The 21,998-nt window shown below is 36.8% G+C and overlaps 3 protein-coding genes and 1 long non-coding RNA gene across 16 annotated transcripts in view, besides 1 other annotated feature; 2 read left to right on the forward strand and 2 right to left on the reverse strand.

The window, feature by feature from the left end:
* L3HYPDH (trans-L-3-hydroxyproline dehydratase) overlaps nucleotides 1-20,817 on the reverse strand; it is a 39,796-nt gene extending 18,979 nt beyond the window's left edge. Inside the window, exon 1 of the mRNA XM_024449462.2 lies at nucleotides 20,733-20,817. The gene's annotated coding sequence lies outside the window, so the exon portion shown is untranslated. The remainder of the gene's footprint in view (nucleotides 1-20,732) is intronic.
* Nucleotides 27-306: an enhancer, noted in NCBI's record as "active region_8461". NCBI's record gives its function as "activates an Ori minimal core promoter by ATAC-STARR-seq in GM12878 lymphoblastoid cells {active_cell/tissue: GM12878}" and the evidence as "EXISTENCE:reporter gene assay evidence [ECO:0000049][PMID:35858748]".
* JKAMP (JNK1/MAPK8 associated membrane protein) lies at nucleotides 61-20,954 on the forward strand. 8 transcript variants are annotated; one of them, XM_024449627.2, is made up of 8 exons: nucleotides 61-137; nucleotides 534-660; nucleotides 2,257-2,348; nucleotides 3,218-3,372; nucleotides 10,562-10,768; nucleotides 14,271-14,452; nucleotides 16,735-16,811; nucleotides 19,398-20,954. In XM_024449627.2, the coding sequence occupies exons 2-8, from the start codon at nucleotides 615-617 to the stop codon at nucleotides 19,614-19,616; spliced, it is 978 nt and encodes a 325-aa protein (XP_024305395.1). In that variant the 5' UTR covers nucleotides 61-137; nucleotides 534-614; the 3' UTR covers nucleotides 19,617-20,954. The 8 variants fall into 8 exon arrangements, with proteins under 8 accessions (XP_024305395.1, NP_001271131.1, NP_001271130.1 ...); NM_001284202.2 differs by having other exon boundaries at nucleotides 2,275-2,348; NM_001284201.2 differs by having other exon boundaries at nucleotides 61-660.
* LOC124903326 (uncharacterized) lies at nucleotides 3,379-7,595 on the forward strand. The gene is made up of 2 exons (XR_007064196.1): nucleotides 3,379-6,410; nucleotides 7,105-7,595. It is a non-coding gene; the product is annotated as an uncharacterized LOC124903326 (long non-coding RNA).
* CCDC175 (coiled-coil domain containing 175) overlaps nucleotides 20,611-21,998 on the reverse strand; it is a 71,746-nt gene continuing 70,358 nt past the window's right edge. For all 6 annotated transcript variants that reach the window (XM_011537124.4, XM_011537122.4, NM_001164399.2 and 3 more), the window contains one exon: nucleotides 20,611-20,859. In XM_011537124.4, the coding sequence (XP_011535426.1) occupies nucleotides 20,783-20,859 (77 nt within the window). In that variant the 3' untranslated portion in view covers nucleotides 20,611-20,782. The remainder of the gene's footprint in view (nucleotides 20,860-21,998) is intronic.

Genomic DNA, 21,998 nt, shown 5'->3' on the forward strand with positions numbered 1-21,998 from the left:
GAGGGAGGAACTTCGGAGCTGTCGCCCGGGTTACCGGGAGGCGGAGCCGCCGAGCTCGCTGTGGCCCGGATGTTCGGTGCAGCTGCCAGATCCGCTGATCTAGTGCTTCTCGAAAAAAACCTTCAGGCGGCCCATGGGTGAGTGGTCGCCAAGATCCCGGGAAGCGTTTCTGGTAGTCCCGACTACTTTCCTACACGGCTGGCCTCGGGCTCGGCTCTTTGTAGGCGGCCTTCGGTTGGCGGCGCAGGCTCGCCCCTTGACCCCGCCCGCCCTCGGGCCGGGCTCCGCACTCCTGCGGGGTTGGGGTGGTCTGTCCGCAACGGGCTACTAGGGGAGGCGCGCTGTCTGCGGCGAAATGCCAGGTCTTTGTTGTTTGGTCCGAAATGTCTCTTCAGTCCCTTAGTTTAATGTCGAGGGAACACTTGCTTGAGGGTTGACTTCGGAATTGAAAACGCGGGTGATAGTGCAGAAAAAACAGTAAAGCAGAAGCAAGTTGCTGCATAATTTGTCTACTGCTTCAACCTCAAACGTAGATTTATAGCGCCCGTCACAAAGGGCAGGACCGCTGCAAAAAAATGGAATCTTAAAACTTTAGCCATCGTTCGCTAAAGGAAATGAAAGGAGAAATTCAACAGTCGCTTGGAGCCTGGGTTTTGCTTAGTAAGTGATAGGCTGTTTATTTCAGTTCAGTTTATCATACTGGTTTTCAGGCCTTGGATTTTGAGAAACTTTAGATTATTGATATTCACGTGTATTTATTAAGCATCTACTAGATGTAAAGCCCATACAGAAGTTTCCAATTCCTTACCTTCTGCATTCTTGAAAAACCTGAAATATTCATTTTCATGTATTAATTTAGAACATTGTGATTACAATTGGTTACAAAAAAAATAAGCGCCCATTAAAGAGGCCAGTGGGTTTAAAAAGCTAAGTCCGAAATTTGTTAAAAGCGAAAATATTAAACTGGAGGAATATTATTCAATGCTGTTTCTCTTTTTCTCTCAGCAGCATAAGGAGAAGGAAGTAAAAAGTCTGCTTGAATGTGAAAGGAGAGAAGGCACTGTAGACCAGGCAGTCTAGATTGTGAATTCGTGAATAATTTGGGAAATGATTGTTCAAGAATAGTCAAAAGATGCATAATTTTTCAAATTAATTCACATGTAGACCGCAGTTTGTTTTGAGACGGAGTCTCCTTCTGTAGCCCAGGCTGGAGTGCAGTGGCGCGATCTCGGCTCACTGCAACCTCTGCCTCCTGGGTTCAAGCGATTCTCCTGCCTCAGCCTCCCCAGTAGCTGGGACTACAGGCGCGCGCCACCACGTCAGGCTAATTTTTGTATTTTTAGTAGAGACGGGGTTTCACCATTTTGGCCAGGCTGGTCTGGAACTCCTGACCTCATGATCTGCCCACCTCGACCTCCCAAAGTGCTGGGATTACAGGCGTGAGCCACCTCACCGAGCCTGTTTGTTTGTTTTAATCAATGAATGAATGAAGGGAATCAGATGTCACTGATGAAGAAAACTTCCATAATTTCTTGTGAATAAGGTCAAAGACAACGTATTAGGTTCTTAGTTGTTGGGGTTTTTTTAAGTAAGGAATAGCTGCTTTTCCCCTAAGCCTTTAGATCAGGGGCTTAATTTTAATGCAGTGGTTTCTAAAATATTGGCCCAGTGACAGCCTTGATGAAATTTTCACTTATCCTCCACAAAAATGATAAAAGCTAGGACAATGTAGGAAACTTTTTATAAAGGTAATTTGCATACCTCTGTTATGAAATTATGTTCTCTCTGCTTTTCCCATGTGAAAATGTGTTCTGTTATGAACATAGGTGATAATGATAATTGTGTGTCTACATGTGGGTGCTTAATGTCCTGACTGGGCAAAATACAAGGTGGTGACCCTCTACTGGTGCTCTAATTTAAAAATATATGTATATTTGAACTTTATAATCAGTTAAACTCAGAAGTATCCTCTAATCATACCGGGTTAGGCTTTGAGTCCTGGAGATAGATCCTGCTCTGCTGGTTGAGGACCTTAATCATAAGGCACGGTATTAACAGCAAGGTTCCAGGATAACTGTCTGCAGTGTCACAGTGTAAAAGGAGAAATGTAAATTTAAAAATGCTTCAAGACTTTTGTCTAATACATATTATTCAAAAATTTGAAACTGTTATTTTTGCCAAATGCTTCAGCTATTATTGCAATTATTTTTTATAATCACAAAAGATGTTACTATACTGGCATTTGTTTTTAAAAAGCTGTCGATATTCAACCAGCATGCCTTGGACTTTATTGTGGGAAGACCCTATTATTTAAAAATGGCTCAACTGAAATATATGGAGAATGTGGGGTAAGTCTTATGTTTGTATCTTATTTCATTTTGTAAAATCTATTTGCTTTTGAAATATTTTCACATACAACATTTTTTGTTATTATACTCATTAATTTATAAAAGAATATGGAGGACCAGGCGCAGTGGCTCATGCCTGTAATCCCAGCACTTTGGGAAGCCTAGGTGGGTAGATCACTTGAGGTCAGGAGTTCGAGACCAGCCTGACCAATATGGTGAAACCCCATCTCTGCTAAAAATAGAAAAAAATTAGCTGGGCATAGTTGTGTGCGCCTGTAGTCCCAGCTACTCGGGAGGCTGAGACAGGAGAATTGCTTGAACCTAGGAGGTGGAGGTTGCAGTGAGCCAAGATTGCACCACTGCATTCCAGCGTGGGCAACAGAGGGAGACTCTGTCTCAAAAAAAAAATAAAATAAGGAAATATAAAAGAATATGGAGGCATTAATATAGTCATTGTTCATGTTGGCATTTTGATGTCTATATTATTTTTTAAAACATTTAATAATTTTATAATAATTTCTAATTTATGATTTGGTACCGTGTCTTGTACAGTAAGTTGAACATCATGAATCCAGAACATTTATCTGCAGTTATTCTTATATAATGTTAATAACTAGGTTTTTCATTGAATGTTAGTCAACTATTTTAGTAACTTAGTAAAAGGAATCTTCTAAGAGCATTGTACAAATATAGCACATACAATATAGATTTCTTTTTATTTTACTTATGCCCTCTTTTTTATTTCTAAAAGCTGCACATGTAAACTTAAATATTTAAACTGAAATGGGATGTCTTATAGAATGATTTGGGGGGGTGTTAATGTTGTAAAATAATATCTGTACACAAAATATTGGTTTTATATATTATAGGTATGCCCAAGAGGACAGAGAACGAATGCACAGAAATATTGTCAGCCTTGCACAGAATCTCCTGAACTTTATGATTGGCTCTATCTTGGATTTATGGCAATGCTTCCTCTGGTTTTACATTGGTTCTTCATTGAATGGTACTCGGGGAAAAAGAGGTTAGCACATTTCTATGAACATATCTGGCTGGACTAATGTTGGAATAATTATCACTCAGAAGACCTTATTAAGTAATTATGCTTCTTCTGTTTTAAAAGTGGTAAACATGTTTTTCTTTATCTTCAGATTATTCTTAACTGTGACAAGAAAACTTAACAATAGGGCATGACTTAGTAATTTTTAAGGGAACTGTCCTTAGTCTGTTTTACTCTCAGTGATCTTGAAGGAATACTTTTACTTCTCAACTATAATCCTTATTGGTTTTCTACACAAAATTGGTTATGATTACAAGCTATTTATTGTTATGGAACACATTCTTTGTAATTTAATTTAATACTAATAATCTAGTATGATGTAGTTAAAAATGATATAGCTGTAACCTAATACAAAAACTCATATTAACATATTAAATCAGCACACATTTACTAAGCACTGCATTTTATGTTTGGAAGATCAGGGAAGGAGATATAAAAATAACTGACATGGCTTATAGTCATAATCTTGTGGAGAAAACAAGTGTGTACATAATTATAAATCAGTCTTAGAAATGTAGTGGAAGAGTTATAAACAAAGTACTCTGGAGTTACAAAGAACAGAGAGATAAATTATGCCTCATGGGATCTGAAAGATTTCAAAAAAGGAACATTTTAGGCAGAAGAAACAGCATGAATAATGGCATAGAGGTATGAAATATGTGATCTGTGGTAGGCAGGAATGGAAGTAATCTGGGGTAGTCAAGAGTGGGTTGCAAATGAAGAAAAGTAATATAAAGGGGAGTAGGAAAGATAGGTTGAGGCCAGAATGTGAAGGTTCTTGATAAGCATGTGAACTTTAATCTGCTGGGAATGGGAAGTCAAATTCTGCCTTACTGATTTTCTTTTAGTTCCTCCAACTTCTCAGGATCTTTCCTACTTTAGGTTCTTTCCCTTCCTGCAAACTCTTTCTGCTGTCTGAAATACTCTCTTCATCTGACTGCAACTTGTTACCTAGCTACCTTCTTTTCCTTCTGATTTCAGTTTAAAAGTCACTCAGAAAGTTGAGTACTAAAAACAAAACAACAACAACAAAACAAAGAGTGCCCAATTAAAAGAGAAAAATAAGGAAGACAGCCTACTTTCTATTCTTTCCTTCTAGGCCTCTGGGCCTGTGGTCGGACAGGCAGTCTGAAAGACTTCTGAAATGCCTTCAAGCCTTTTTCTCATTGTGTTGGCTATTAGCACTTGGCTCTCTTTTAGCCATGCTAACCTCTCTAGCAAGTTGCTGTACAGCCTGGTTGAATTCCTCTCCTGAAAATGCTTTTCTTCTCTACCACATGGCCAGGCTGCACATTTTCCAAACTTTTAGACTCCGCTTTCCTTTTTAAGTATAAGTCCCAATTTTTAAGTCATTCCTTTGCTCCCACATCTATCTGATCATAGGCTGTTAGAAGCAGCCACAGCACATCTTGGATGTTTTGTTGCTTAATGATTTCTTCCACTAGATACCCTAAGTCATCACTCTTAAGTTCCAACTTCCACAGATGCCTAGGACATGGACACAATGCAGCAGAGTTCTTTGCTAGGGCATAGTATGGATGACCTTTACTACAGTTCCTGATAACTTCCTTAATTCCATGTGAGACCTCATCAGCCTGGCCTTCACTGTCTACATTTCTGTCAGCATTTTGGTCACAGCCACTTAAGGCTCTAAGATGTTCCACGCTTTCCCTCACCTTCCTGTCTTCTTCTGAGACCTCCAAACACTTTCAGCCTCTGTCTGGTACCCAGCTCCAAAGCTGGGTATCTTTATAGCACTGCCCTACCCTTCAGTTTCAGTTTTCTGTTAGTCCATTTCCATTACTATAAAGGAATACCTGAGACTGGGTAATTTATAAAGAAAAGAGGTTTAATTGGCCCATGGTTTTGCAGGCTGTACATGAAGCATAGTACTGGCATCTGCTTCTGGTGATGGCTTGAGGAAGCTTACAATCATGGCAGAAGGCAAAGGGGAACCAGTGTGAGAGGAGGCAGGAGGCAAAGGGGAACCACATGGTGATAGGGGGAGGAGGTACCTCTTTCTTTCATTTTTTTTAATGTTTTATTTTTTAATTTATCTTTTCGTTTTTATTTTTCGAGACAATGTCCTGGTTTGTCACCTAGGCTGTATTGCAGTGGTGTGATCACTGGTTACTGCAACCTTGACTTCCTAGGCTCAAGTGATCTTCCCATCTCAGCCTTCCAAGTAGCTGGGACTACAGGCGTGTACCACCATACCCTGCTAATTTTTTATATTTTGTAGAGACAGGGTCTCTCTATGTTGCCCAGGCTGGTCTCGATCTCCTGGGCGCAAGCAGTCCTCCTGCCTCAGCCTCCCAAAGTGCTGGGATTATAGATGTGAGCCACCATGCCCAGCCACCAGGATCTTTTAAACAACCAAATCTCACATGAACTCACAGAGTGAGAACTCACTCATTACTGTGAGCACAGCTCCAAGTCATTCATGAGGCTTCCACTCCCATGACCCAAATACTTCCCACTAGGCCCCACCTCACTGAGGATTACATTTCAACATGAGATTTGGAGGGAATGAGCATCCAAAAAAATCACTCCGTATTTGAGTGAATCGTTTATTGGTGAAGGTCTGGTGTATGGAAGTGGCATCATTTGATGTATATTTTAGGAAGAAAATTTCTGTGGAGGGTAGGTAGATTAGAGGTGAGATATTTAATAGAAGACTGTTGTCAAAGAAATAGACTATGGTAGTTGGAATGGAAATGGAAAGGATGGTCAGATAGAAATAGAATCAGCAGTTTTCTGGGGCCTACCTAATAAATCCAGGGTGGTTATTTACATTGGGAAAGCATTTATAATTTTTTAGAATAATTTATAAAAATACTTTAAAAATAGCAGCTTTCATCCAGTTTTTAATTTCTGTTATATTAATAGAATGATGAGAGATGGGGTGAGAAAGGAGATATGACAAAGCTGAAATAGAATAATTGTCCAGTCAATTGGTGGGAAGTTCTCAGCCCACAGTAAAGAAGAGCTAACAGGCATAGGTATGTCTTCACCAAATGCGTTTGAATTCAGACGTCAGCTATGTTTTGAGGGAGAGACTTGAAGCAGAGACTAGAGGGTGGTTTGAGGGAAGGCGAGGAGTGACTAATGCTCAGACAGGAAAGGAGGTGGGTTTAAAAAGAGGGAGTTGTACAACTGTGCTTTGCCTAGGAAATTGGTAACAAGGACCACAAGGGCCATCTCTTACAGTTTCCTGAAATTTTGCACTTACAGTCCAGATAGATGGGGGCTGGAGGTGTCTTAACAAATGTTCATAAAAACTGGGGATAACCCCTGAGCTGATCTGGAAGGATGCATGGTTTGGCAGATAGGTAAAATGTGTTTGAGGTGGAGGGTGATGCATGCCCAGATGTGTGGAGGCACAAGTGAACTTAAAGTCATTTAGCATGGCCAGGAAATAGAGAAGACGATGCTGGTGGGGGTATTTTTCCAGAAAGACAAAAAGACTCAAAATTAGTTTAATGAGAGGAGTTCTAAAATTGTATTTCATTTTGTAAAGATTATGTGTCTGGCTGTAGATAGGTTGAAAGAGAACATGACAAGAAGACCAGTTAAGAAGGTTATCAAAGTAATGGCAAGAAATAATGAAGTTGGGATTTTGCCTCTGAAAATATTAATTCTATAAGGAAGCAAAATGTCAAATTATGTAATGTGAATGTGTGTTTATGTTTTCAGTGTTTTCATCTTTGTAAAATGGCACAGGAGTTCTGTTTCCAACAATGTGAGTTAATTAGGAGCTCCAAGTGACCCACCTGCATGAAATAACTAAAGTCTGGGAAAGATAAACTATGTGAGACATTGCTGGTCCCAGCTGGAGATGGAGAGATCTCCAGGAACTCTTCTCTTTCAAAACACAAACCAGCCCACCCTGAGTTAGGCCAGAGTGACAAGGCAGGCAGTTGGGATGAGAGGGTTGTCTGAGGTCAATTGCTGGTAGCAGCAGTGTTATCTGGATACTGAATCTTGGGTAGCCTCTGCTAAGACTAGACCCTCAAGGGCCTGAAGCCTAAGGTAGTAGTGGCCATGGCTGCTGACAAAAGTAGCAGAGCCTCTTTGCTGGAAAGCTTCCCCATTCTCAATTTAACCCTGTAAGACTCTTGCTCATTAAAATCTAGTAATGGCCTCATAGTCTGTGGTTACTAAATAAAATAGCACTAGGACTTATTGGTACATGCAACAAACAATATATTTATGCTCTGAGAGGACACAGATAATGGACTTTCACCTACAGGATATGTAACTGCTACCTATAAAGAAAGTAAGGATGTAGTCACAAGCTGTCCATAACAATAAGATTATTAGGAATAAATACATGTGATGGGGAAGAAAAGGAAACTTTTAGAAATGAAAGTTTATACTTGCCAAAATAAAAAAAAAGGTAGTCAGCAGATTAAACAGTTGAAGATAGAATTAGTGAACTAGAAAAAAATGCATAGAAATAATGGAATATTGCACTGAGAAAGAAGGAGATGGAAAATCAGGTGCAAGAAGGTGAGATCCATGTTGGGTAGGTGTGGGAGTGGTCCAGGCTTAAAGTCTTACACCTCACAGAAGCCAGTCTCTCTTATAACAATTCCATGAACTTCTGGGGTCCTGCAAGTGACATGCCAATTATAAGAGTCACTGAACTCAAGAAAGCCAAACCATGGTATCCCCATCAGGCATTTATAGTTCATTTATGGTTCTCCCCAGTCGAGATATAATTTACCAGGCAAGGATCATTTGTATCATAAGCAGTGTTGCCTAGCAATATAGTTGACATTCTATCCTTATCAGGCTTCCAGAGGAAAAGAGCTAGAGAGTTACCTGAAGCCCAGATTCTCATGCACAGCATAAATGTTTTGTTAAGTCTTTGCCCAAAGTATCTAATTAGGGTCTCTGGAAAAATAGAGACTATGAAGGAGAGCTGCTATTTTTTTTTTTTTTTTTTTGAGACGAGTCTTGCTCTGTTGCCCAGGCTGGAGTGCGGTGGTGCGACCTCGGCTCACTGCAAGCTTCGCCTCCCAGGTTCACGTCATTCTCCTGCCTCAGCCTCCCGAGTAGCTGGGACTACAGGCGCCTGCCACCACGCCCGGCCAATTTTTTTGTATCTTTAGTAGAGACGGGGTTTCACTGTGTTAGCCAGGATGGTCTTGATTTCCTGACCTCGTGATCCACCCGCCCCGGCCTCCCAAAGTGCTGGGATTACAGGCGTGAGCCACCACGCCCAGCCAAGGAGAGCTGGTATTTTAAGAGATAACTGGCTTCAGGTTTTACAAAAATAATGAGAAACCGATTCACAGATCCCAGAAGGAAAACACATCCCAAGCAGAATAAACAGAAATTCACACCTGCATGCATCATAATTAAACTGCAGAGTACTGAAAACAAAAGAGAAGCCATATGGAAGAGAACCAAGGCACACCTGTTAACAGCCTTGGTTGTGCTTCCAGCTAACAGCCAGCACTTACTGCAGCCATGTGAGTTAGTCCTTTTAAATGCTGCAGCATGGTCAAGCCTCTAGACCAGTGCTTCCCAAATTGACACCATGTGGAGCAGAAAGAACTGCCCAGTTGAGCCCAGTCACATCACAAAATAGTGAGAAATGATCAGTGGTTCTTGTTTCAAGCCACTAAGTATTGAGGTAGTTTGCTATGCAATGATACATAATGGAAACAGTGTTCAAGTAGAAAACTCAAAATCACCTATAGACTAGATATTAGAAATAACAAGACAGTTTAATAAAAAGGTTGACTATAAGATAAATATATGAAACTATTTCCTATATTCCATGTACAGTACAAGTACTGTGACATAGCTCAGACCATTAAGTTACATAGGATTTATCTGAGCACTTGACAAGCCAATTTTAAAATTTATATGGAAGAGCAAAGGGCCAGGAATAGCCAAGACCACCAAAGAAGTAGAAAAAATGTACATGACATCAAGGATTATGATCATATTATTCTTCTGGCTCAGGAATAGATAAATGGACTCAAGAAACAGAATAGAGACCCAAAACACAGACAATTATATATGAAACTTTATATGAAAGAAGTGCCATGGCAAATTAGTTGGGAAGGTAGGGGTGGGAAGGAGTACCTGTTCAGTAAAATGCTGCTGCTGGGACAACTGGCAATTCAAATGGGAAAATGTAAAGTTAGATCCTACCTTACGTTAGGCACAGAAATCTCTTCTAGGTGAATTAAAGATAAATGTGAAAAGCAAAACCTTAAAATTTTTAGAAGAAAATTTGGGTGTGTGTGTGTGTGTGAGATACACACACATCTCAGGGTGTGGAAGGACTTTTTAAAACATTTAAACTGCTAAGTAGAAAAAAAAATAAAAGCCTGGTGTATTAAAATTTAGAACATGTTTATAAAAAGGCTTCACAAAGAAAGTGAAAATTGAGCCCACAAACAGGTACACATTTGCAACACATTTAACTAACCACAGAATGGATAAACAAATCACAGTATTGTCACACAGTGGAATCCTAACACAATAGCGAAAATGACTGAACCTCAGCTATAAGCAATAACATGGATGAAACTTGGAAATGTAATTTTGAGTAGAAAAAAAATCTCAGAAGACTTCCATTAGTGTGATATCATTCAAAAATAAGCAAAACTAACCAGAATAGTTGTGAAGCAGAAATACAGTTGGGATAAAAACTTTCTGGAAAAAAGTGGTAAAAGCAGTTTGGTACATGGTTGCCTCTAAGGGAGAGACAGAGGTATGGATGGGGAGGAACAAAGATGTAGTTACAAATTGTTGACAGTGTTCTAGTTATTGGGTAGGAGATGAGCTTATAATATTATAATTACTATACTTTCTAACAAACACGTTACATACCATCTTTTATGTGCATATTAAGATTAAAATGATACACAGATAACTAAGAAATTTTTAGCAACAATTTGGCAAGATACTAAAGATGCAGGGTAGATATAATTTCTGCTTTTCTGTTACACATTTAGATAATACTGCTACAGTGTTATTTATCCCTTTTGAGAAAAAAAGGTTATACTCGAGTAGTTTTTGACTTTTCTTATAGATTTAGAAATCTGTATCTTGACACATGTACATGTTTTATTAAAGCCATTTAAATATTGCAATTTTTCTAGTAATCATGCCTCTTTTCCTTCTCTAGTTCCAGCGCACTTTTCCAACACATCACTGCATTATTTGAATGCAGCATGGCAGCTATTATCACCTTACTTGTGAGTGATCCAGTTGGTGTTCTTTATATTCGTTCATGTCGAGTATTGATGCTTTCTGACTGGTACACGATGCTTTACAACCCAAGTCCAGATTACGTTACCACAGTACACTGTACTCATGAAGCCGTCTACCCACTGTAAGTGTTTATTTCGACTTAAGATCATTGTTTTTTTTTAAATCTCTGAGGATTATTATAGATTTTATGGCGTTTGGAGACAAAAACAGGTGTGGGTTTGAGTTCTGGGTCTGCCAGCGGCTTTATTACCTTGAACATGTAAACAGCCTCTTGTAACTTCAGTTTTCTCTTTGGTAAAATGGGAATAATGATCCTTATAAGGTGTCGTGAGGATTAAATTAATCCACACATTCTAGATACCATATAACTTACATATAGGAGGCACTTTATAGTAAATGGCATTATTACAGTGTTTGGATTAGTGTTTTTTCTTTTTTTCTCCCCAAATAAGTGTAATTTCTGTTAGAATGTTTTGTTTTCAAAATATTAAATTCATAAAATTCTGTATGCAATTATGCCAGACTATTCCAGTTTCAGAATTTTTATGAATTTTTGTAAATTCTAGAACTAGAAAATGAATCAAATTCATTTTGATATTTTTTGGGGGAAAGGGAAAATAGAAGTCTGGTATTTATATTCTCATAATTGTAGCAGGCTTTCAGTACATAATATGCTCAGGGAAATTAGTCCTTTTTGAGCAAGTTCTTAATAATAAAACATCAAAAACATAGAAATGCAAATAGGTACAAAACAACCAGATATCTTAGAAAAAATGAAAATCTTCTTTTCTACCTGCCAGTTTTTTGTTTGTTTTTGAGACAGAGTCTCGTTCTGTCACCCAGGCTGGAGTGCAGTGGCACGAGATCTCAGCTCACTGCAACCTCTGCCTTCTGGGTTCAAGTGATTCTTGTGCCTCAGCCTCCCAAGTAGCTGGGATTACAGGCATGTGCCACTATGCCTGGCTAATTTTTGTATTTTTAGTAGAGAGACGGGGTTTTGCCATGTTGGCCAGGCTGGTCTTGAACTCCTGGCCTTAAGTGATCTACCCACCTTGGCCTCCCAAAGTGATGGGATTACAGGCGTGAGCCACTGTGCCCGGCCTCTCCCTGCCAGTTCTTAGGTATGGCAAATTATTTTATAGATATATATATATAGCTATAATTTATATATAAAATACTATATAAAACACTGATAATGTCCTTTTTGTTGATTCATTGATTCGTAGAGCTTAACTCTAAGCATTAATTACCCTCTTGTCATATAACTCTCCTAAGGCCTTGCATAACTTAACGTGGTCCTATTTGGAAAACTTAATAAATGAATTGAATATTATATTTAAATAAGATATAATGTAATCTTATTTAAAACAAAATCAGACTTATTTAGCGATAGTCTCATTTATGTTATTTATTGTAATATTTATAAAGCCTATTACAGTAGGAGGGTCAGAAAATATAAGATTAGAAGAGAAATGGCAAACAGGTACTACCAACCCTCATCTGCACCTGTAATAGTCACTTCTAATTTATTGTAGCACTTTTTCTGCTGATTTGAGTGTAGCCTAAGAATCTTGTGGCAGCACTCTCTGTCAATCAGAATCATCACACAGCTTCATTGATTAGGACATTTTTTGTCTATTCACTATCCCTGAATCAAGATTGTTTGTTTTTCTTCCTCAGCACCCTTACCAACAGTCATTGTAGAACAGCTTGCCTGCCTTGTTTTATTATTATACAAAACAGTGATTTTTAAAATTATGAGATATTATATAGTATCTTATAGCATTGGGTTTAGGCATATTATTTATTTACCTAAGCATTCTAAATATAAATGTATGGTCAGACTGGGCTAAGCACTTCCGAAGGTTGTAGGGCTACCACAAGTCATAGTAATTTTTTTTTTTTTTTTTTGCAAGTCAACAAAAAGCAATAGCACACAGTTACCAGAAACCTTTGGAACACTAGTGCATTGACAAATGAAGGCTGTTTTTCCCAATGTATATATAGCCTAGTTTCTTACAAATTGAAAAATACCACAGGACTTTACTGATAATTATAGTTTTAAGGGGAAACAGATGAGGCATGAAAAAACATGTAAGCTTCTATCATTATAACTTACTGCAAAAAAATAACTTTTACATTACTAAAACTTTAAGAATGAGTTATGGAAAATGAGCAGTTATTACTCTTATAGCAGGAATTAGCTTTAGTTTGTCAAATTTAAACTATCCCCACATGTAGGCAGCATGGATTGAAAGAGGGGAAGAGTGGAATGGGATGAGGTCTTCTGGTGGAAGGCAGGAGTGGGAAACGTAATCACTTCCAGAAACTAGTTTCCTAGTTCATTTGGAGAAACACAGGATGGTTTCCTCCTGATTAAAGTGAATCTTTTTGGAGCTCTTAAGGAATTACAAGTTGTGGAAATGGACAGATTTTTTTTCTTTTGCTGTTGATAAGAGGTAGCAAACAAGACTAGGAAACTAATTCATTAGAAGAGGTAACACATAATGGTTTCCTCTTGATTAAAATCATCTTTTTTAGAGCTCTTAAGGAACTACAAGTTGCAGGAATGGATAGATTTTGTTTTCTTTTGATGTTGTTTGGGGGTGGTATAACAAGACAAAAAAATTATCACCCAAGAGATCAAACATGTACTAATGCATTACTGTACAGGACTGAACCTAAAAGCATCATAGGAACACAGGATTATGGTATCATGATGCTGTGTGGGGAGGAAGCATGTGGTCCGTGATCTGAAATGACTGCTGACTTCCTAGGACACTCCCCTGTATAGGGAGAGGGTTTGAGTAGCAAGATAGTAAAAATGATTTGAAAATACTCAGGAAAATTAAGGTAGAACTATGTGGATAAAAGTCCCATTATTCAAAATAAAGTGCTAGAAATCTGGTGACACATAGCTCTTTCTACAGCTTTTTTTTTCTGATTATAAAAATTACATTAAAAATGGGACATTCAAAAACAGAATAAAAGCACACACAGAATAAAATAATCTGTAATTCTGTTCCTTGAGATGATTCTGCTACAAATTTTATCTTTCCAGTTTTATTTCTGCATGTGTATGCATTTTAAGGAATATTAAGGCTATACTATGACATGCTATCTTGTAAGTTGTTGGCACTTAATGTATTAGGCACAGTTAATTTTGTTAACATTTATTTCATAACTAGATTTTTATGTCTGCATAATATTGCAGCATGAATATACTATAAAATATAACCAGTTTCTTACATTTGAATATTTATTTTCTTCTGGGCTTTATTATAAGTGATTCAATAAAAATCCTTGTACAGTAGGTTTTTTTATGTATCCCTGGTTGTTTCCCTTGGATAAATTTCTACAGGTAAAATTGCTGAATCAAAAGGGATAAACAGTTTTAGGATTTTTGGTACATATTTCCAGACTGCCTAAGAAAGCAACCATTGTACCCTTGCTAGCCGTGTATGACAGCCTGTTTGGCCAGCTTTCCACCAATCTGAATATCCAATGGATAGAGTAAATATGCTTTTTAAACCTCTTTTAGGCTCTTTCATTTAAAAATGATCAAGATTAAAAACATTTTTAAAACATTTTTGATGTTACAAATTCTTTATTTTATTTTACAGATATACCATTGTATTTATCTATTACGCATTCTGCTTGGTATTAATGATGCTGCTCCGACCTCTTCTGGTGAAGAAGATTGCATGTGGGTTAGGGAAATCTGATCGATTTAAAAGTATTTATGCTGCACTTTACTTCTTCCCAATTTTAACCGTGCTTCAGGCAGTTGGTGGAGGCCTTTTATGTAAGTTTGATGGGTAAAGTCAATGAAATATATTTATTATTGTATGTAGTAATATTTCCTCTAGATTTAATTTTGGAGATTTTTCCTTAAGATAGTTTGTTTAATCCTTTTTTTTTTTTTTTTTTTTTTTTTTTGTGATGGAATCTCACTCTATCACCAGGCTGGAGTACAGTGGCATGATCTCGGTTCACTGCAACCTCCGCCTCCTGGGTTCAATTGATTCTCCTGCCTCAGCCTCCCAAGTAGCTGGGACTACAGGCATGTGCCACCACACCCAGCTAATTTTTGTATTTTTTTTTAGTAGAGACGGGGTTTCACCATGTTGGCCACATTGATCTCGATCTCCTGACCTCATGATCTGCCCACCTCTCTTTGCATTTGAAGTTCATGACGAAATTAAAATATTTTAAAAATCTAAGTATGTAATAAGAAATAAAAACTGGTTTTTATTTAGGAATTTATGAAAATTAGTCTTGATAATGTATACTGTTTATTATTAAGTAGGGTCTTAGGTTTCTAAGTGTATTTATGAAAACCTTTTATAGTAAAAAGTCCTCAATATATCTTTTATTTTAATGTAACCATTAATTCATTTGTTTAGTAACCATTTAGACCAAACTGTGACTCAAAAGAATAAGACAAATTCACTGTTAAAAACCTCACTTACTACCAGGAGATAAAGTAGGCAAGCCAGTGGCTGAGAAAATGTAGTGTGGTTCTTTTGAATATGTGACATTGAACGTCCCAAGGATGTTGGACACCATCCTTTATATGGAGCTTGGTAATGTAATTTGGTAATATAGTTTGGGAATGTAATTTGGTTCAAGGTGATGGTGGGGCTTGAGGGTAAGACCAAGGGAACCAGAAATTCTGTTATCCGCCATATTCTGGTTTACAGATGAACTGTTTCATTTGGCCTGCACAGGATTTGAAAATCTATAGTTCCCTCTAGCTCCTCTATTTCCCTGTTAGATTTGGCCCATTCCCTTATACCTTCCTGGCTACCCTCTCTGTCTTTTGAGGTTGCCATTCTTGCTCTAGGGAATAGGGACCTGTTCTTAAAAGGATTTAGGCAGAAGAGTGACATGATTACATTTGCACTGATTTGCACTAATTTGGGCTTAGTTAGAAACTTCCTCTTTATTCCTTTTTACTGTATATGGCTTTTTACTACCAGGTCTTAAATTTGTATCATTAGCAACATTGTTTAGCTACTTATAAGTTAAGTAGAGTTTTTGTTTTGTTTTGTTTTGAAAAGTTGATTGAGGACCTAATAACTGTCTATGAAATAAAAAGTTATAAATGTCAAATAAGTCATTCAGTTCTTTAGTAAGTTGGAATCAGGCCTGTATAGATAATTCAGTTTCTAGCTGCTGAATCCTGAGTTAACATTTGAAATTGTTCCAAATGGGTTCTACTGCAATGATAAGTAGTTTCATAAACTGAAGTCATTTACAAATAATGTATGAAAAAAATTCAAAGTTTTTTTCTCAATTTGTCCATTTATTTTAGTGTGTTATAAATTTGAAACATTTTAAGAGAAAAGTGGTGTTTTAGAGGAAAAAATTTGCTTAAAGTATTACTGTACTGTATTTAAAGTAGAGATTGCAGGAATTTTGATATTAAGAATACTGAATGATCTCTTTATCCTTTAAGGTTTATTGCTAAATGACCTTTTCTAAAGATTAATTAAAGCTGAGTTACTCTTATAGATAACCTTTTTCAACTGCGGTTCCCCACCTTGACCACAAAACACAGAAAATTATTTGACCATTTTTTTGAATTCTCCTAAATTTAGTACATAACTGGTACTATTCTAGAATGCAGAGGAGAGAAGTTAATTATTTACATTCACTGGATGCCTTAATAAGGCAAGGTTCTTCAAAGCTGGCCCAAGGATAGTTTTTACAATTTTTTATGGTTAAAAAATCAAAAGACTTATATTTCTAGATGTGAGTATGAAACGTATGTTTTATTGTCCATAAAGTTTTTATTGGAACACAGCCGTGCCCATTCATGTATGTATTCTCTATGGCTGCTTTCCCACTACAACTGCAGAGCTGGGTAATCGAGACAGAGAAATGCAGGGCTGAAACTATTTACTATCTTGCCCTTTCCAGAAAAAGCTTGCTGGCCACTGCCTCAGAACCTTAGGTTGTAAGTCTCACAGAACTGGTTGAGAAAGGATTTGACTCTAAGGAAAATTACTATTTGAATTTATTTGATGGTTTATTGAGAAAATTTGTTTCATTTCCAACATAATACCAATGCTTATCTTTCAGATTACGCCTTCCCATACATTATATTAGTGTTATCTTTGGTTACTCTGGCTGTGTACATGTCTGCTTCTGAAATAGAGGTAGGAAGTCTTTTTTTCCTTTGTTAAAGACTTTTTGATAAATTTGACAATTCAATATCAGAATAGTCCATATGATATGATATAGTACAACTAATTGTTTTAGTAATCTTTGGCTGATTGATGCCACTTGGTAGCTTTTGGCTTGTTAACTTTATGAAAAGTTGTGTACTGGACTATATATTTCCCTGGGAAATTAGCAAAATAGTGAAGTAGTCAGGCCCAACTATCCAGCATGAAGGAGAAATGTCATTTCACATAATTTTCCCATGTAGCAAACATATAATTATTGAAATGTTGAAACTTATTAACAGTATTTTGAGAAAAACCATAAAAATGTTTTATATTTAGAACTAATTTTAAACTTTATTTTACAATGGCAACATTAATAGTCATCAGTAATTGTGCATTCCATATCCTTCTGTGTTTTATCACAAATTTTATTTTCCTGATTATGGATGTTTACTTTTACCCCATAATGTTTGGGGGATTTGGAGCTAACATTAATAGCCACATTATTCTGATACTGTTACTTTTTCACAGTATTCATTTTGTACCTCTAATATTTTAATATTTCAGTGGAAGGCCACTATTATAAAGAACTCCTTTTAAAAAATTGTGTATGTCTTTATTTTCAGAATATTTTTGGCCAAAAAAGTATCTTTTGACACATTTGTAGTCACTGGGTAGAATAGAACATCATATCATAACGTTTATATTTTCAAATATTCTAAAGGAACTAAGCTATTGGTTAAAACCATGAAGAACAAATGAGAAGTAGTAGTGTATTTGACTCTATATCTAGGGAAAAATGTATTCATTAAACTTTGAATCAAAATGGGCATTCTTGTACATTATTTGTTCATATGCAATCTGACATTTTCTTTCTAAAATAATTATATTTATTATTGTTACTAATATATTAGTAACTGTTATACATATTACATTTAAATGATTGCTTTTAAATACGTTAATGGCTCTGATTTAAGAACTCTTTGTTCTAAGGCCAAACTCTAGAGGAAGCAGAAGTATAAAGTGTCTCAGTACTCTTCCATCCTATACTTGCTAATCTAGGGACTATGAACTGTCTCAGACTACCCATGACAGTTGATCTGTGCTTTCTCATAATTCCTAACAGAGAAAACTCAACCAAGAGAAAATAAGTTGTAAACTATTTTGGAGTGGTTACTGCTGATGCCACTTTTTCTATTACCTTAGTGAGAGAGTGAGTGGGGGAAAACATCTAGGAATCATAGTGACTTTTAGGTAAGATAATAGTGGAGGAACTAGACAGAATATTTTTATAGTGATTATTCAGTTGTTTTCATCTGTAGATGATCCTCATTTTTCCTTTGTAATCATCTTTAACCAGCATTGAAATATAATTAAAGAAGATAGGAAAATTAGTTTTGGCGCTTTTATCAACTCTAGGGAAAGATTTGAGGGAGAAAATAGTTGGATATTTGGATATTTGAATAAAATGAGATTTTTTTTTTTTTTTTTTTTTTTCGGAGTCTCACTCTGTCGCTTAGGCATGAGTGCAGTGGTGCAGTCTTGGCTCACTGCAACTTCCACCTCTCGGGTTCAAGTGATTCTCCTGCCTCAGCTTCCTGAGTAGCTGGGATTACAGGTGCATGCCACCACACCTGGCTAATTTTTGTGTTTTTAGTAGACGGGGTTTCACCATGTTGATCAGGCTGGTCTCAAACTCCTGACCTCATAACCCACCCACCTCGGCCTCCCACAGTGCTGAGATTACAGGGGTGAGCCACCACGCCTGACCTTGAATTTTTACAGCTTATCCATAGTTAAGAATTAGCTATACACTGTTAAATTAGCTTGAACTTATTTGTTTCTCTGCCCCTGTGAATCTCCTATATAAAATGTTCACATACTTCAGTTAGCATGAATCAGAAATGGGGACCTAAAACGGAAAAAGACAGCTTAGTACTGGTTGAGTTGATGAGCTGTTTAATAAGAGAAAGTTAGTAACTAACCTGTTGCAAATTACGTTTTAATGTGTTTATTAGCACATTTAGATATTTTGTATTTCATTCTTCTAATTTCTGCATAGCATACAGGTGTATTAAGGATTAAAAGAAAATCAGAGTGTTCATGTGTCATTTCTGCCCCCTTACTATTCATGCAGCAGGCTCCAGGAATGTTAGAGGTTAAGGAGGTTGGGTTTCTGTACCTCCTATTTCCCACCTGTAGATCCATAGCAACAGTGGATCAGGGCAGGAAGCAAGCACATAAAGTGGAGTTTCCCTTCTAGTTCGTATCTTTGAGAAGAAACTATAGTGTTTCCAGGAGTGAATGATGGCATAGACTAGGACTTAAGAGACATGATGACGTAGCTTTCGTCTGGGTGCCTCTACTGAGTGCTTATATGACCTTAGGAGCCTCACTTTCCTCATCTATAAAGTGGAGTGGCTAGACTGAGTGATTTCTTAAGTCTTTTTTAGCTCAAACATTTTATGATTCTGAGATTATAAATAATACATTTTATATTAAGTTATATTAAATTACCCAGCTGACTTAGCCTGATAATCTGTATTTCTCTTTTCTTTCTTTTACAAAATTATATAGAACTGCTATGATCTTCTGGTCAGAAAGAAAAGACTTATTGTTCTCTTCAGCCACTGGTTACTTCATGCCTATGGAATAATCTCCATTTCCAGAGTGGATAAACTTGAGCAAGATTTGCCCCTTTTGGCTTTGGTACCTACACCAGCCCTTTTTTACTTGTTCACTGCAAAATTTACCGAACCTTCAAGGATACTCTCAGAAGGAGCCAATGGACACTGAGTGTAGACATGTGAAATGCCAAAAACCTGAGAAGTGCTCCTAATAAAAAAGTAAATCAATCTTAACAGTGTATGAGAACTATTCTATCATATATGGGAACAAGATTGTCAGTATATCTTAATGTTTGGGTTTGTCTTTGTTTTGTTTATGGTTAGACTTACAGACTTGGAAAATGCAAAACTCTGTAATACTCTGTTACACAGGGTAATATTATCTGCTACACTGGAAGGCCGCTAGGAAGCCCTTGCTTCTCTCAACAGTTCAGCTGTTCTTTAGGGCAAAATCATGTTTCTGTGTACCTAGCAATGTGTTCCCATTTTATTAAGAAAAGCTTTAACACGTGTAATCTGCAGTCCTTAACAGTGGCGTAATTGTACTTACCTGTTGTGTTTCAGTTTGTTTTTCACCTATAATGAATTGTAAAAACAAACATACTTGTGGGGTCTGATAGCAAACATAGAAATGATGTATATTGTTTTTTGTTATCTATTTATTTTCATCAATACAGTATTTTGATGTATTGCAAAAATAGATAATAATTTATATAACAGGTTTTCTGTTTATAGATTGGTTCAAGATTTGTTTGGATTATTGTTCCTGTAAAGAAAACAATAATAAAAAGCTTACCTACATAAAATTTCAATGTTTTGACACTTAATTGTTGTTTGGCACAATAGTATGGAAGTAATTCAAACTGGTAAATAGTTTCCTCTCATATCTCGGGTATATATACATACCATATTTTATTGATCCAGAGATACTTATTTCACTTTGTGACATCTCTGAATTAGGATGCATCTTACAACTGATGGCTTATTAGATTTAATGAAATACAGAAGATACACAGAATAAAAAGGGTTTTCCTGTGGTTGGTTTGTGGTTTGTGATAGGTGTTCTGTGATGTTTATGCTTTGAAGGCCTTAAGACTCATGGTTGCAACCATGGAAGCAAAATGAAATTTTTAGCTCTTAACCTAACAACCTGACCATGTTTATCCATTTTTATTGTTTAGAAGTTTATTTACTGATACTTGGTGGAGGTTGTGTGAATTAGTTAAATTTTAAATGTTTAAGACTTCTATTAACAGCTGCAAAATATGAAAGTAAGTGCACTCACTTTTCCTGTAGTAGTCTGTCTTTTGAATTCACAGCAGTTGTATCCTTGAGTTACTTTGTTAATGTATTTTTCTCAGTACATTTAACCACTGGGAAATGAACCCTTGTACGAATGTGTTTCTTCTTCTCTGTAGGAATAAAAAATAAATATAAAAATTTTATTTGTATTGCACACATTTGGGGGGTTATTAGTGTTCATTAAAATTCTGAGTTGCCCAAAGAATCCTCAATTGAGTAATTGTATAATCGGGGTAGAGTAGGGAGGGGTGTCATGTGTCTGATTACTAGGACTATATCTTCTGGTCCACTTGGGGCCATTTTTACAATCATTTTTTTCATATGTCCTGTTCTAGCAGAAAAGTATATATGCAAAAGAAGAAATTACAATTACAAGGCCTCACGGGCAAATAATTTCCACAATACTTAATATGTATCTGCATTTTTAATTTGCTTTGGTAAAAATAAGACTAGAACAACTTATAGCCACTGTAGTTGCTAATTTTACTAAATAATTTGTTAAAACGTGGTCATAAGAAATTTAAAAATCAACCCTTGTCTTTGTTAAGTTTTGACTTAGGCCCTTGTAGCACATCACAATCCTTATCACTACAGTGTATGGTACTTTTGCTAACCAGTCCTGAAGAGGTAATTTAAAAGTCAAAATACAGGTTGAATATCTCATATTCAAAAATGCTTGAGACCAGAAGTGTTTCGAATTTCGGGTATTTTCAGATTTTGGAATATTTGCATTATACTTACAGTTCAGTATCCGTAATCCTAAAATCTGAAATCTTAAATTCTCAAAGAGGATTTTCTTTGAGCGTCATATTGGTGCTGAAAAAGCTTTGAGTTTTGGAGCACTTTGGATTTTTGGATTTTCAGACCAGGGATACTAAATCTGTGTTTTCTTGATTAATTTGGGTCAGTTAGTTGATAAATTTAATAACTACCTTGTTATATATTTGTCTAAAACTATTAGTTTGCGAGACTATTGCACATTGAAGCCATCTGGAGAGATTTAAAAAAATAATGCCTGGGCCCCACACCCAGAGATTCATGTTGAATTGGTCTGTGTTTGAGCACAGGGATTTTTTTTTTTTTTTCTTTTTTTTTTTTTGAGACAGTGTCTCGCTCTGTCACCCAGGCTGAAAGTGCAGTGATGCGATCTCGGCTCACTGCAACCTCCACCTCCTGGGTTCAAGTGATTCTCATGCCTCAGCCTCCCAAGCAGCTGGGATTATAGGTGCCCGCCATGACACCCAGCTAA

The sequence above is a fragment of the Homo sapiens genome, chromosome 14 (assembly GCF_000001405.40).
Source record: "Homo sapiens chromosome 14, GRCh38.p14 Primary Assembly".
Lineage (NCBI taxonomy): Eukaryota > Metazoa > Chordata > Mammalia > Primates > Hominidae > Homo > Homo sapiens.

Bases quoted from the DNA above. Each gene is read 5' to 3' on its own strand.
- JKAMP (NM_001284201.2), top strand. From the start codon at position 615: ATGAAAGGAGAAATTCAACAGTCGCTTGGAGCCTGGGTTTTGCTTA. The intron at 3,373-10,561 runs GTTAGCACATTT...TTCCTTCTCTAG, and splicing joins TGGTACTCGGGGAAAAAGAG to TTCCAGCGCACTTTTCCAAC. The intron at 14,453-16,734 runs GTAAGTTTGATG...CTTATCTTTCAG, and splicing joins AGTTGGTGGAGGCCTTTTAT to ATTACGCCTTCCCATACATT.